The sequence below is a fragment of the Homo sapiens genome, chromosome 9, assembly GCF_000001405.40.
Source record: "Homo sapiens chromosome 9, GRCh38.p14 Primary Assembly".
NCBI classification, from domain to species: Eukaryota; Metazoa; Chordata; class Mammalia; order Primates; family Hominidae; genus Homo; species Homo sapiens.
The window spans coordinates 17,893,871-17,909,333 of record NC_000009.12 but is presented as its reverse complement, the minus strand read 5'-3'; the positions used below and the strand labels follow the sequence as shown (position 1 = coordinate 17,909,333).

At 41.7% G+C, this 15,463-nt stretch overlaps 1 protein-coding gene and 1 long non-coding RNA gene across 7 annotated transcripts in view, besides 2 other annotated features; one reads left to right on the top strand and one right to left on the bottom strand.

Moving 5' to 3' along the window:
• Positions 1 to 2,701, bottom strand: part of ADAMTSL1 (ADAMTS like 1) — a 1,004,318-nt gene extending 1,001,617 nt beyond the window's left edge. For 4 of the 6 annotated variants that reach the window (XM_011518063.3, XM_017015311.2, XM_017015314.2 and 1 more), the window contains exon 1: positions 1,867 to 2,004. In XM_011518063.3, the coding sequence (XP_011516365.1) occupies positions 1,867 to 1,888 (22 nt within the window). In that variant the 5' untranslated portion in view covers positions 1,889 to 2,004. Of the gene's footprint in view, positions 1 to 1,866; positions 2,005 to 2,411 lie in introns of those variants that run through there. The other 2 variants (XM_011518064.4, XM_017015312.3) reach the window with 1 other exon arrangement.
• Positions 1,437 to 1,981: an enhancer, noted in NCBI's record as "H3K27ac-H3K4me1 hESC enhancer chr9:17907351-17907895 (GRCh37/hg19 assembly coordinates)". NCBI's record gives its function as "activates a minimal SCP1, AML or CMV promoter by ChIP-STARR-seq in naive H9 embryonic stem cells {active_cell/tissue: H9 hESC(naive)}" and the evidence as "EXISTENCE:reporter gene assay evidence [ECO:0000049][PMID:30033119]".
• Positions 1,982 to 2,526: an enhancer, noted in NCBI's record as "H3K27ac-H3K4me1 hESC enhancer chr9:17906806-17907350 (GRCh37/hg19 assembly coordinates)". NCBI's record gives its function as "activates a minimal SCP1, AML or CMV promoter by ChIP-STARR-seq in naive H9 embryonic stem cells {active_cell/tissue: H9 hESC(naive)}" and the evidence as "EXISTENCE:reporter gene assay evidence [ECO:0000049][PMID:30033119]".
• Positions 2,078 to 7,187, top strand: LOC105375987 (uncharacterized). Its single transcript, XR_929509.2, has 2 exons — positions 2,078 to 2,160; positions 2,944 to 7,187. It is a non-coding gene; the product is annotated as an uncharacterized LOC105375987 (long non-coding RNA).
• Positions 7,188 to 15,463: the final 8,276 nt, after the last annotated feature.

Here is a 15,463-nt window from a genome sequence, read left to right as displayed (position 1 = left end):
GGATCTCATTAAACTAAAGAGCTTCTGCACAGCAAAAGAAACTACCATCAGAGTGAACAGGCAACCTACAGAATGGGAGAAAATTTTTGCAACCTACTCATCTGACAAAGGGCTAATACCCAGAATCTACAATGAACTCAAACAAATTTACAAGAAAAAAACAAACAACCCCATCAAAAAGTGGGCGAAGGACATGAACAGACACTTCTCAAAAGAAGACATTTATGCAGCCAAAAAACACATGAAAAAATGCTCACCATCACTGGCCATCAGAGAAATGCAAATCAAAACCACAATGAGATACCATCTCACACCAGTTAGAATGGCAATCATTAAAAAGTCAGGAAACAACAGGTGCTGGAGAGGATGTGGAGAAATAGGAACACTTTTACACTGTTGGTGGGACTGTAAACTAGTTCAACCATTGTGGAAGTCAGTGTGGCGAGTCCTCAGGGACCTAGAACTAGAAATACCATTTGACCCAGCCATCCCATTACTGGGTATATACCCAAAGGACTATAAATCATGCTGCTATAAAGACACATGGGGCCATGATTCTATAAAACAAGTCACATTGGCCGGGAGCAGTGGCTCACGCCTGTAATCCCAGAACTTTGGAAGGCCGAGGCGAGTGGATCACCTGAGACCAGGAGTTTGAGACTAGCCTGGCCAGCAAGGTGAAAACCCGTCTCTACTAAAAATACAAAAAATTAGCCAGGCGTCGTGGCAAATGCCTGTAATCCCAGCTACTTGGGAGGCTGAGGCAGGAGAATCGCTTGAACCCAGGAGGCAGAGGTTGCAGTGAGCCGAGGTCACACCACTGCACTCCAGCCTGGGCAACGAGAGTGAAACTCCGTTTCAAAAAAAAAAAAAGTCACATTAAGGCAGGTCATTTTTGCACATTGGGTTTTAACCCAGCTGCAGAACAGAATTACCCGAGAGCTTTAGAATTTCTGATGTCCCAGCCTCCCCTCTCCCTCCAGGATTCTGATGTAATCCAGCTGGGGTGTGGCCCTAACGCAGGAAATTTCTAGAGCTCCCCTAGGTAATTCTACTGTGCAGCCATGGCTGGGAAGCCCTGACAAGGAACGAAGCATGGTGGGAATACAACTTGCTGATAATTAATACAAGCTTTTCCAACTGTTTGTCATATTCCAATCTAAGCAGGTGTTCCCTGCTGAAAATTTCTACTACTGATGAGAGTAATCCCTGCTGCTCCGGGCCCTTCTGAGACAACATTCTCGGTCCTCTCTCAGCCTCTAGAAGTGCACCACTGCAATCAAAATTTTAAAATAGAGATCGGAAAACAAGTTGCAAAACGTTAAGAAAAAGCGAGGGAAGGAAATCCCCCTATTTGGACAAGTCTCCATAAGCAAAACAGAGGAAAGGGAGGCTATCTGGCGGTAATTCCGGCCAAGAGTATTTGGGTATTTTCCCAGAATTACCCAAGTAATCCTGTGAAAGGCAAATCTATGGAGGCTAAATTATGTACAAACTGCCCAATTCGTGGGTTTTAAGCAATAGTTAACCTGAGTCTGGAAAGTGTGAAAACCAAGGAACCGCAGGCATTCTGAGTTTGACTCGACCCTGGACCCCTGCCCTCTTCCCTAAGCAGCTTTCTCCAAGTCTTGTGATAATAAACCACTACCAGGCAAACTGAATTAATCAGACACCCTCTCCCAGGGCCCTTCCGCGCCGCCTCAGGGCCTGAATTTCCCACCCTGGAGAAGTCCCCAGTTCCTTATACACCCCGTGTGGCCCTGGAGAAGACCCTGGGAGGATTCGGAGGGGGTATGGTCAGGGCCAATCCTCGGGCACCCACCCACCAGAGCCACCTCTAGACCGCGGAGGCACCAGGGAGCCCACCTGGTCCGGCGTCCGCACACATTACAACGCTGCGCCCCCGACACTCGGCTGCGGGCGGCCCTAGGGTGACAGTGTCAGAAGTTCACTAGGTCCGCAGAAGGGCGGAAGTGTGGAGGAGTGTCCCAGCACCCGAGTGTCCCCGGCGCCGCCCAAGCCTCAGCCTGGAACGAGAGAGGGGGCTCCGCGAAGGACTGTCGGAAAGGGTGGGGGGTAGAGGACTGTTGGGGATGACAGCTCCCCAGCTCAGGCGCCGCCTTCTCGCCCCGGCTCTGCCTGGCTGGAAGCAGGACCCAGGTAAGGGCGAAAAGCCAGGACAGGGTCCCAGGAAGCTGGGTCAAGCCTAAACGCAGAGATCGACCCGATCGACCCCAGGGTACGCCTTAGCCCCAACCCCGCGCCACTTGTCCCCAGCCTGGGCGGCAGCGCAGCCCCAGGATGGACCTTCGCGGAAGAGAGCACCTCCCACGCTGTAGCGCTTTTCGCTGTAGCACAGGCTTTAGAAGCAGAGTCCCCGGGAGGGACGCAAGACGCACAGGCTACCCTACCTGTCCGGCGATACAGAGCAGGCACCAGGTGCCACCGAGGAGGCGGGCCAGGAACCCGGGGCACTGGGGCGCCTCCAGTCGTGCCATGGTCCCCATGGCGGGGACCAAGGGGAGTCTCAGGCGAGACCCCTCCCTCGAAGAGGTGGCCGCCTCCTGCGCTGATTGCGGTGGCTCCGCGGCGGCGGCCGGCAGGCGGGCTCGGGCGTGCGCCCCACGAGACAGAGCTGCGCTGGGGCAGGCGGCGCGGCTTTGGAGCTTCAGTGCGGCCGCGGAGCGGGTCTGCTTTGAATGGGAGCGCGTGCGCTGGGGGTGGGGGCGTTATTTGTGAATGTGCTGCTTGTCTTGGCTCGAGATGGTTCGCGCTCCCCCCACCCCCAACACCCCTCCAGCTCCTGCTCCTCCCCTCCCGTGTCAGCCCAGCGGAGGCGGGGAGCGCAGACATCCAGCCGCCCCGGCAGCGACAGCGGTGTGCGCTTCGGGAAACCCGAGCGGGGCTGCGCGCTGGCTTCTATTTATTTATTCTTTTTTAAAGGGAGGATCGCTCACTGCCCACCTTGCTCGCGCTTGGAATGCCACCCTGCCGGCCCTTGGAGAAGGAAATCTCTCCCTGGACGCTGGCGCTTTCCCAGGAACCAGTCCTAGGAGCCATTCCCTGAGCGCTTTCCCTGGAGCTCGGAGCTCCGAGTGCTGTTGCTGACCTGGGAGCCCCGCAAGATGCTCCAGGGGCTGGGGACGATTTTGTGCTTGTTGGGAGGGGGGAATGATGAAGAAACTTACAACCTCACGTAATGGGACAAAACTGAAATCGTTATGACATGTTTGTCCGTGGGGACTTGTCCCCTGGGCGCTCATGGAGCTTTTCCCATGGAGTTGATTTGTTTTGCAACATGCGCCCGGGAGTGACGGGGACCCACGACAGCTGGGTAGGCACGCCGTGAACCAGAAGCCAGCGTCGGGCACAGGGAGCCCAAGAAGTGGGTTCAGTGAGGTTGACTTCGCTGATTGTCTTCCTGTACTAATGGCTTGCTGGGGGCAAGCTAGGGCGCCCCCTTCTCTGGTTTGGACCACGCTCTCAGTACACAGGAGGCTTTCAGGCTGTCTCTTTAACAGAAGATACACACTGAGCTCGGCTGCAGGTTTTGTGGGGTTTTGTTTTGTTTTGTTTTGTTTTTTGTTTTTGTTTTTGTTTTTTTTGCCATTGGGACTCAGGATCATTTCTTCCTGAAAATTTGGCGCTATAGATCCAGTCTCCCAAAGCATCTTTGTAAGAAAGCAAATCTCCCACCCTCCTTCCAACTGTCTTCCAGGCCACTCCACCCCTCTCCTGCCTTGGCAGTAAAGTTAAAAGAGGCGGAGAACTGGCCCCACTTCAGTAAACTCCGTAGGATAAGGGGATTCAGCGCTGTGCTCATGAAATAACTTTTGTGAAGTTCCCACGTGCGCGCACTGGGATGAGCCCAGCATAAAATTAAGAGGCCACCATACTCCCTAGCAACCATTCATTCAATCCACATATTCCTAAATGCCTACTCCTTGCCAGGCGCTGTGGTTGAACGTTGTAGCCCATCAGCGACTGAGACAGATGCGGATCCTGCTCTTTTCAATTGGGTAAACAGACCAGACACAAACTGTCTGCTAACAGAATGAGAGGCAAAGTCAGGGCAGAAGTGCCTATAGGAAATGAATGTCATATGTGTGCCAGTATCAGCACTTGTGTCTAGAATAGGAGTTGTGTAGTTGTTAATGGTAAAGGAGGCTGCTTTTCAGAATTCATCTGTTTACTCATCATGTGTATTGAGTTCCCAAAGTGTGAAAGAAAAAAATCAGAAATGGGAAAAATACATCTACCTCTGAGCCTAGATTCCCAGAAAGTTAAAGCTCAAAGATCAAAATATTTGGAGATTCTTTTCTAAAGGAGTTTTAGGCCAAGTTTTCAGCTTGAATTGATATAAAGGAAAAGGTGAGACATTTAAAAATGAATAAATAAACCAAACACACACACACACACACACACACACACACACACACACACACACAAAATAAGAACAAAGACTACAGAGGCTGGAGACAGGAAAATATTTCTATGGAGGGTCGCAGATGGCTTGTCTTGCTAGGATGATTGAGCCACAATATTAAACAGAAAAAGGCAAGGCTGTGCTTGGCAAGCAGGTGGTCCTAACCTGTTGGGGTTGGGGGTACCTACAGCACCAGGAGGGAAGAAAGAAGGGAAATGATGTGCCAGGCAGCAGTGCTAAGCAACATTAACTGAATTAAATTTTCAAACAACCCCCAAGATAGGTGCAGATTATCCTAACTTGACACATCAGAGTACTGAAGCTCAATGGCTATATTACTAGGATTGGAAGTAGGCTGTGGAGGGGAGCACAGCAACAGAATTTCAGGATTGGAATGGAGCTCTAGCCCAGCCACATACTTCAAACCATGAAGAATTTGACCATCTAGTCCAATAGCCACACTTGGATTTTTAAATTCATGAACAAACTAAGGCCCACGAAAATTAAGTTATGTGTCCAAAGTCTCACACGTAAGAGGCAGATGAATTCATTCCTACAACTTGATTAGAAAAGCATGAACTTCTGTTCCTTTAATAGTGAGGTAACAGAAGAAAATAGGAATTTAAAGTTAATTAATAAGGCAATTAGTCAAGTGTAGGATTAAAAAAGGGTAGAAGGTCCAAAAGGAGGGAGACCAGCTAGGAAGATGCTGCCATAAACTGGCCATGAGATGATGAAGCTTTCATTCCTGGAGATGCACTCTGGTGAGTGGAGAACAAAGTGGGTGCTGGGAAAGCTGGACAGGAGAAGCAAGGCATTGATTGGTCTCATATAATGTGAGAAGGTGGCATCTCCTTAGAGCATCTCCATGCCAAGGGTTCAACTCCAGATCTTTGCATCCAACATCAGACTTGAATGTTAGCAGAGCCTGAGTTTGTTGGTTTGTTCATTGTCTGCTTAAAAAGCCATAGGTTTTTAGATGACTTTTGATCAATATACATGATTGATAGTTTAAAGAATGAATGACAAGGACAAAAATATTCCCTTTATCCACTAAAATCAACTTTCCTTGATACTGCAAAAATTGTAGGGAAGATGCTTTCAAACAGATGTCTTTACTTAACAGCTTAATAACCACATTGTCATAGAAGGACTAAGAAATGCCACATTGCTCAGGCCCTGGAATCTACATGGAGTGTCAGAAGATACCAGCCACCACTGATGGCTCTTCACCAGTTCCAATCTTGCCAGGGCCTCTGCTCTGTACTACAAGCCCTTTCATTTGAGATTTGCAGCAGGAGAGAGTTTTGGACATCACAAGCCCATCCTCTGAAAGGATAGTTCCACTGGAACACACGAATGCATGATGCTGAGGCTGGCTCTCTCTTCCACTTAATCTCAGTGGTACTTCTGACTGTTCCCCATGTCCCAATGCTTTCTTCAACTCTCACTCTTCTTCCTATCCTCTTTTTATCCAGCATACTTTTCTTTCCAGAGCTCATCATTTCAATAACACTCTTTTCATAACCCTACACTCTCCTGCCCTTTGGTCTTCACTCTTCAACTCAAAATGATCTCAGTTACCTGCTTTCTCAGTGCCCACCCTCCAGGAACAAGCACTGCAGGGGAAAGCCACAGAATAGGACAGGTAAGTATCAGAACACCACCTTCACCAGCTTCAGATGGACTTGCAACACTGCCCCTCAGTCTTCCTATATTTCTCCGTCTATTCACTCTCATACCATCCTACTCTCTACAATGACTATTTCAAACATTCCCCAGTTTCTCCAAACCTCCAACTCCTCCTTCACGCTGCTCCTTTTCAACAGACATGCAGAGCTCCAACTTTTCAGAGAAAATCAAATTAGTTGAATGGGAGCAATTTCTACTTCTACCCTTTTGCACCAAATCTACTTCTATCCATACCGTACTTCCCTTCTGTCTTCTCTCTAAGGCTAGTCCATCTCCAATGTTCTGGGTCTGATCTTCTCTTGCTTTCAACTAGTAAAAAAATGTATTCATTTTTCCATCTCTGTACTGTGTATTCAATAACTCCCTGTAAACTGTATCCTACCTTTTAATATTCAAACATGCCCAAGCCTCTCCCATGTATAAATAAGGACATGAACTCTCCTTCAATGAACCCATATCTTCTTCCCATCATAACTACATTTCTTAAAGGTTTTGTTTATATTCCCTATTGCTTTCCTCTGTGTCTATTTAATCCTCAATCCATTCCAGTCAGAATTCGGCCACCATCACTCTATGAAAATTGAAGCTACTCTAGTCACCAATAACCTCCATGCTGTAACATCCAATGGACATTGGTCAGTCCTCTCTTTGTCCTCACAAAACCTCATGACATGGTTGATTGTTCCTTCTTGAAACATTCTACTTTCTTGGCTGTCCATCTGACACTGGCATGCTACTTCTAGGAACACATTTTTGAAGATGGTGTCCCTTTCCCTCTGGATCTCCTTCAATGATTAACTCATTACTGAGCCTCTCCCATATATGGGTTGGATTTCTTGTTTACATGCATGGATATATCTGTATTCTTTTCCTTCAAAGAATTGATTTTAATTTGTGATTACTCTTTTATTAACCGAAGTAACCAAAATGTGTCCTTTCTTCTCCCACTAGGTTGTAAATTCTACAAGAGCAATTCATCATTGTGGGGCCAATGCCTACTGCATCCAAATGCCTAGCACATGTTTGACAAAATTGAAATTTGTTGAATTAATAAATGGGTGAATTAGTACTTCACACCTTTCAATGGGCTGGAAACTTAACCATTAGGCAAGACACAAATAGCAAGCACCTAGAAGATAAGCATGACAGACTATTAACCTTTATCCCAGTACCTATGGTAGTCCTCCAACATGGGGGATATTCCAAAAAATGATTGACCGACTAAATGAATGGACAGAATCCACTAATAGAGTGAGAGACTGACTAATCATGTAAACTCCTAGGCAAACCCCCAATGTAAAAAATCCATCAGCCTATGTAGAGTTCTTGAATTTCAAGGTTGCAGCAACAACTCTTCCTTCTTTTAAGAAATGAAGTTTGGTTTAGAGTCAATTATATTACCCATCATAATCTCAAAGTATCTCCAATAAGAAAACAACAATAATGAAAATAATACAGAAAGTCCACCACAATACAAATTATTTTTTCATAAATACATAGCAGCAGGGGAAGGGAGGAGATGCTCATTCTGTTACCCAGAGTTCAGGTTTATCTAAATTGTTCTAATGAGTATATTGTGTTTATTATAAAATGTTCAGCAAGAATGGAATTTTCTGATAGTTGACTCAAATCCTGCTTCATTCCCCTCTTGATCTTTCACTGGATGTGCCCTCTTGTCAGCCTTTCTTTGCCTCAGCAGACAAGGAAAACACAGAGCAAAGCTGTTCAGTCAAGCAAAATGTTCATTTTTGACAAGTTGAATGTCACACACTTTGTTCAAAGAAAATATACATACCTGAATTATACAGTTAAAAGTCTCCTCCTTGAGTGAAGCCATTTCAATAATAAACAAGTCCACAGAGACATGTGGCTTCAACTATTACAAACTGTTAAATTATGTGCATAATAAAAAAATGATAGGAAACATAAAGTAGTATGTTTATATCTCGCAGAAATGACTCAAAACCATATTTCAAGAAAGTAAACTCTGGAAACCAGCAGTTTCACTTACTCCTTGCCCCAATGTAATGTCTGTTCTAATTCTTTTAAATGAACCTACAGGGTTTTCTTTAGCTACTGTATTTCTAGGTTCTTAAATTATAAGCATAAAGTTTAGCTGATACTAGATAAACATAGTTGTATGAATTAACATCCAGATCAAAATATTTTAAATTGCCTCTGCTTCCTTATAAGGGGAAAACACAGTGTCTCAGGAGGGTTGTAACTTATCAGCAGGCTTATCTTTCCATCCTATAACACTGAGTCCCAGAGGACGGTTTGCGCTCACAGTGATCCCCTGGCATCAGTCAGACTGCATTCACGATAGTGTGTTCGTCATGTGCATACTTAATCCCTTGATGTTGGCTTGCGGGAGTCTCAAATATAAAATGTGACAGCATTTGTTTTTCTTACCACAGAAAAAAATGACATCACAAACTGTTAAGAGGTTAAACCATATATTATGGCTTCATTTCAGAGTCACTGTTTGCGTCATATGACAGCCCAACAGGGACAGAATCTAACACACTTCACATTCCTGAATCTAATAACATATATAAGCTCGTCTGGGTGAGGCCCATTGGGTGTGGTTTTATCACACAGAAAATCTTATATAATAATAACCTTTTAAAAAAATTGTCATTCTTTCTCCATGTGTTGATGTATTTGTTCAAATAATACAGCAAAGGACAACAGAGATTAGAAAGGAACCAAAAATTACATTTAAAAACAGACTTATGAATTCTGTTTCTTTTCTCTGGAGACCTCAGAAACTGTTTACCTGAATGGGCAACAAGTTTTCCATACTTCAACTAGTCTGTCAACAAAAATATTCAGTTTCCATTTTACGTTAGCCATTATGAAAACATGTAAAAGAAGTAAAGTATATGATCCTTGTTTTTTTTCAAAATACACACAATTAAGTTTCACAAAATACATTTATGAAAGAAATTTATATCTCCAAAATGTTTGTTCTCTATTGTAATATATGCCCTTTGAGAGCAGAGTATTCTGTTCCGGCCATTTTTCCTCAGTACCTACCACACTGTAGGCACTCAATAAATGTTTGATGAACTGCACTGAACATTTATTCTAATGCAAACCACATTGATGAGTACTGTGAGGAATAAACACTGATTCTGTATTTATGCCCAGCTTCCTGAAGCCAAAGTCAGAATATTTCAATGATCAGAACCTTTACTTCTATAAAGTGCTGATATGCAGTTTCTAAGACATAATCTAAAATATGATAGAGAAAGTAGTAGTGGTTTAGTAGGTAGGTGTTAGCCAGCTAATTCAACTTATTTTATAGGGTATATATATATACATATATATGCATGCCATTCTGAAATCAAAATATTCTGTGTATTTTGTTTTGTTATTACATCATCCAGTACAATGGCAGTTCATGTTCTCTCTGCTCTCAGGCATACCTAGAAAACTGGCGGATAAAGTACAGTTGTGTACTCATTCTAAACTTACATCTGAAGTTCCTTGACTGTGTTTCAAGGTCTCCAAAAATAAGTCCTGGAAGCTGGATGTCCATGTCTTATAAAATCACAGTAGCAAACACAACAAGGGTAAATTACTGTCGTCTGTTTTCTATGCGGTGAGCGCTATCTCGGCTCACTGCAACCACCACCTCCCAGGATCAAGCGATTCTCCTGCCTCAGCCTCCCGAGTAGCCAGGACTATAGGTGCCTGCCACCACGACCAGCTAATTTTTGTATTTTTAGTAGAAACAGGATTTCACCATGCTGGCCAGGATGGTCTCGATCTGCTGACCTCGTGATCCGCCCGCCTCGGCCTCCCAAAGTGCTGGGATTAAAGGCATGAGCCACTGCGCCCGGCCCAACTTTTATTTTTTATTTGAAATCAGTGTTCAAACAAAAGGAAAGCGGGCCTGTTTTGAACTATCATCCTCAGTTTCTGTATAAGCAGCTACATAGGTGGTAACATTTATTATATCTCTGTTTGGTTCATTCTGAAAGAAGTATCAGTTTGTATATGCGGACACAATCCCCTTCAGTTTTGCTGGAAAATCAGAACTTCAACACTGAGTCTCCAGATAGCACTGGAAATTCATTCAATGAGAATAAATACATGAAAGCACAGGATTTTGTTTACTCTGTTTGCTTCTCATGAACAACATAGTAAAATAACCCCTCAGAGAATTAAAACAAATTGTGATATAGAATATATATATATATATATATATATTTTGAGACAGAGTCTTGCTCTGTCACCCAAGCTGGAGTGCCATGGCACGATCTCAGCTCACTGCAATGTCCGTCTCCCAGGTTTAAGTGATTCTCATGCCTCAGCCTCCCTAGTAGCTGGGATTACAGGTGTGCACCACCATGCCCAGCTAATTTTTATTTTTAGTAGAGATGGGTTTTCACTACATTGGCCAGGCTGGTTTCAAAGTCCTGATCTCAAGTCATCTGTCCCCCTTGGCCTCCCAAAGTGCTGGGATTATAGACGTGAGCCACCAAGCCTGGCCATAGAATATAATTTGAAAGCAACTGTTACTTTCAACCCCAAGTTAATGACTGACAACTTTTAGTTTTTCTCCTAACTGGATGCACCAGAGAACTACCGACCAAAAAAAAAAAAAAAAAAACCATTGACAAGAAAATGAAATTCAGCCAGAAAAAAATGAGAAAGATTTATGGCAACAATAAAATGACCACCTTTTAGAAGATATTGTTGATCTTCGCTGATAAGATTAAATGAACCAAACCGTGAAAAGCACTTTGTTATTTGTGAAGCAATGTTAAAAACATTTCATTCATTATTCAGTAGTACACTACCATATTGCAGAAGACATTATGGCAGCTTAGAAAGACATGCTTTAAGACAGACATGAAAATCTAATTAAAAGTTGATGAGAACACTAACATTCTCAGGGAGTAGAGGTCAGTGTGAGATTATTGGGATATTTCAGGTTCTTCTTTAATTTTTAATATCATTTGAATGTTGTTTCTTGCAGCACAAATTAACTTTGTAACTGAATAAAGCAATGAAGATATTTCCTTTTAGAAAAAAAATGGATGAGAAAGAAAAACAATAATATGGCCTTAAAATGGCCATATTGAAGCCAGAGATGAAGTTAGTACAAATGCACATCCAATAAAAATCTACAGCTACAGATATGGCACTCAGCTTTCAAAGAGTCATGAAACCTGATAAATTACAGTGCCAAACTAGGTGGGGGGAGATCAGACCATAGTTGCATGCATGAAGCACTACAGCCTTGACGAAAATCGGGAAAGTTTCACAGTTGTTTTTTTTTTTAATCTGGCCTCATATAGATTTTATCATGTATGCCCTTAGGTTTATTAGCATGGAGTTATATAGCAAAAAATGATACAGTAAATAATTGATAAAGGAAACTATAATTTGGCATTTATTATATCTCTAGGCATTCTTGTATCTAGAAAACTATAATTTCCTTCATCAATTATTATATCCACCTCTTGTAGCAATATTTCATGAAAATGTACTTTTCTCTTTAAATTGCACATTTAAGTTTTTCAAAAAGAAGACAAGACATAAAAGGAAACAGAAGAGGAAATTCAGAATTGAAGGTGAGGCAAGTTATAGTACATACACCACTACATTACAGTGTGTGATGGGTGCTATAACAGGGGCAGCCTATTTGTATATAGGGCATGCAAATTGTTACCTGGATCAAGGGCCACATAATGAGGGAAGAGAAGAGCATCTTCACAGCCTTCATCTGGGATTTCCACTGGGTTCAGCCTCAGGGATGTGGTGTTGAGATCCCACAGCTGGCTTGAGTCAGGTTCAAGAGGCATATTGGTTAGGCATGGGTAATAGTAACGGCTGTTAATGGATAAATCCCCAAATCTTGATGGCATAGCATAATAGCTGTTTTACATAAATAGGTGAACTTTAGCCAACAGCATGGCAGTTGGAAATATGTGAAAAATCCTTTCAGAAAGTCAACAGAACATCAGAAAACTGAATATTTCTATAAAGAGTTATCTGGAGTTAAAAGACAGACATTGTCATACATTAGCAACAGCCTAAGGGAGATTCTTGAGGAAGCCTTATTTGACCTCCTCTCCCCAACAAGACTAGGTTAGGCATCTTCCCAAGTGCCTCCACTCAACTTGTACTTCTCCTCTTAGGCTGTCGCTGTTATAGTGACCATCACATGATGTAATGTAATGGTATAATTTCTCGTACTAGGCTGTAAGCCCCATGACAGCAAGAATTACCTCTTCTCACCCTTGTCTTCCCAGTACTCAGACAGTGCCTGGCACATAATAGGTACTTATTCATATTCGTTGAAAGAAGAGAGGAATGGAAGAAGGAAAGGAGAAATTGAGAGAGGGGAGAAGCACAAGAACTCAAAAAGATGTTAAACCTTAGAAGATAAAGACTAGCTATAATCTTTTAGTTGTATAAGAAAGTGAATTAATTCAAAAGTAAGCCACAGAAATGTGATAAATGCCAATTCTAAATGCCATTATGCTAGAGGGGGAAAAACAGGAAAAAAATAGTGTCAATTTCATTTTTGCTTTTATGCTTTTCACATTATGTGCCACTATGTGAAAATAAACTATAGAGAAGGAACATATTAGAATTCACCTGTTATTCACTATAATACGTAAAAACTTTACTTTGGGAATAAATGTTGTTTGTGCCTGTTTCCGTCCCCTTCCACAAGGGTAAAAAAGAAATTTGTGAGCAAACATACAGGGCAAACAGAGCCTCCCTGAAACCCTTGTGCCTGAGATACTGCTACTTAGAGTACATAAATGTATTTATCGAGCTACATGTGCAAATTATGGTGTTGGCTGTGCAAACAAGGCCATATTACTTAAGTCATTGATGGAACAAAATTTGGAGTCTTTTCAAAGTCTAAAACAGTCTTATCAGAAATTATAAAGCGCTTTACTAACATTCATCTTAAGTGAATTCTAGGCTTAAGAAAATAAAGTGTGAGGCTTATAGGGATACTTTATAAAAGAGTAAAAGTTGTAAATTATTTCAGGAATTTTCTCATTTATGCAACATTTGCCCCTTCCTAAATATTTCCAAATACATTTTATTTTGAGTCAATTTTCCTTTTGAACTTAGTCCTTAAGATCTCAAACAAAATCAATACATAAACTGAGCAGTATCTCCAAAGAAATGCTTATTAATTATAACGCATGCCATATTAACATCACATAGATTCAAAACTCCAGCCTTTATGACCTTGATAAGGGAAATATTTATATATGTTTAAAATACATACACCTAGGAAGAAGTTTTACTAAGCATGGAATGATATGTTTCATAGAACTATATGAGCTTCAGATACTCTGGCCAATTTGGCAACTATATATTTACATCTTTCTAATGATTTTATATAATCCACTATATCTCTCAAGTTTCATTACAGGTAACATTCCTTGCTGTTGTCCTCCTAAATTTATAACAAGCTCACATTCCCAATTATTTTCCTGTCTCCTTTTTCCATTGAGGAAATCCTCGATTAAGTCACATTTCAATAAACTGAATTTTCTCTTATGAGTCTCTGTATGTTTGAAACCAACACTCACACTCAAAGAGGAGCTCTAATTTGAGTTCAACAGTAAACTTGATTATCCAGTTCATGGACTGATAATCAATGATGTTTTCTTCTCTTCCTTGTTCTAGTGAAGAATCCTTTCTGTCAGTGTGTTGAGATTTGGGGGAATTTTTGAGTCAATGACAAAGTGAAAAGTTCTCAATTATTAGAAGATTTATATTATCCAATTCCCTCATAATCAAGAATAATGAAAAGTTCACAGTGGAAAGTCTGCAGACGTATTTCAGGTGTAATTAAATTAAATTCTTAGTGTTTGTCAGTGTGTGGTCCTTTGACCATGGGCATCAGAATCACCAGGGATGCTTGTTAAAAGTGCCTATTCCCAGCTCCTGTCTAATATCTATAAATCCCAATCTTTGTGTGTTTTTGAACAACATCTAAGAACCTCCCTTCTCTGCTTTAATGTTTTAAAAATAAAACGAATAAAAAGTGAATAAAATGGATTATGTGATCAATATAGATCACAGATTTTTCTAAACCTCCCAAAATATTTCAATCTAATATGAATGTACCCAAAAGAGAATAGAAGGGTTCACTGTTTTGGATTCCGCTGAATGACAGGAAGGTTTAGGTCTTCCCTAACGTCATTTGCATTCCCCTGAGCTATCAGAAAGGAATCTGAAATGGACTTTCCAAGAAAAGGGTGTGGAATCTGAAATCTTTTTTCTTTCCAAGATCAGGGTGGCTGCCCAGAGGAAATCCCTCACTTCAGGGGATTACATTCCAGTTTCTAAATGTTTGGAAAACATGAGTTGACAAGCAAGATGGAGAGTTACAGAGAAAATGAAGACGATCTGAACCATGAAGAATTCAGCTCGTTGATTTGGACCCAGTGCCTGGCTTGAAAGGCAAATGTTTTATTACTTGGCAGGATTCCCATTACATGTCACTCTTTATAGCTTGCATTTTCTAGTCCTTTCAAACATCAATTCTGTAAGGCCTCACATTCCTTTCTCTCATTCATGGACTAAAGACAGTCTTTTCAGGTACTGGGAAAGTTCCCTCCCTGTACTTAGGAATGAATGAAAAATGCCAGGATCATTAAAATTTCTCTATGTGAATTTATTGTTGGTTCCTACTGATTGTAAGATGGAAATGTTTAAAATACCTAAAAGTATCATAATACCAGTCCAGATGATATTTTTTTCCATTTTTGTTATGCCTATAAAATAAAAATTGTAAACATTGATAGTATCAATGGGCAGGCAGATAGATGAGTAAGTCATGTACAAGATGGAAGGAAAGTGGAACTATGGCAAAATGGAGAATCAGTGTCCAGTCTGAAGGAAGTTTTTAAAACTGCACTGGCCAAACCAAATAGTGGTCTTTTAATACTGCTGGCATGGATCCCTGAAAAAGATTTCCCAAACTTTACTCTAAAATACCTACAATGATTCAGAAGAAAAAAACACAAAAACCAACTATGGTGAAATCAGCACTATTAGTCAAGTTATTTCCAGAACTTGAAAAGAATTTCTACCAAATGTTAAGACTGATGGAGCTACATGGAAAAAGCCTCATGCTATGCCTGTCTAGAAGTCCGTAAGAGAACTATTTGTCTGTTTTCACTGTCAGTCCCTGGGGTAACCTCTAAAGCCTACTCCAATCACAAAACTGAGGAATTATCCTTGCTCCAAGTGATTGTTATTTTCTGTGCAAGGAAAAATAGAACAGTCTGATTCCCTTTAACTACCTATCTACCATCCAAAGACTACAACTTTCAGGAAGAGGCTGAGCAG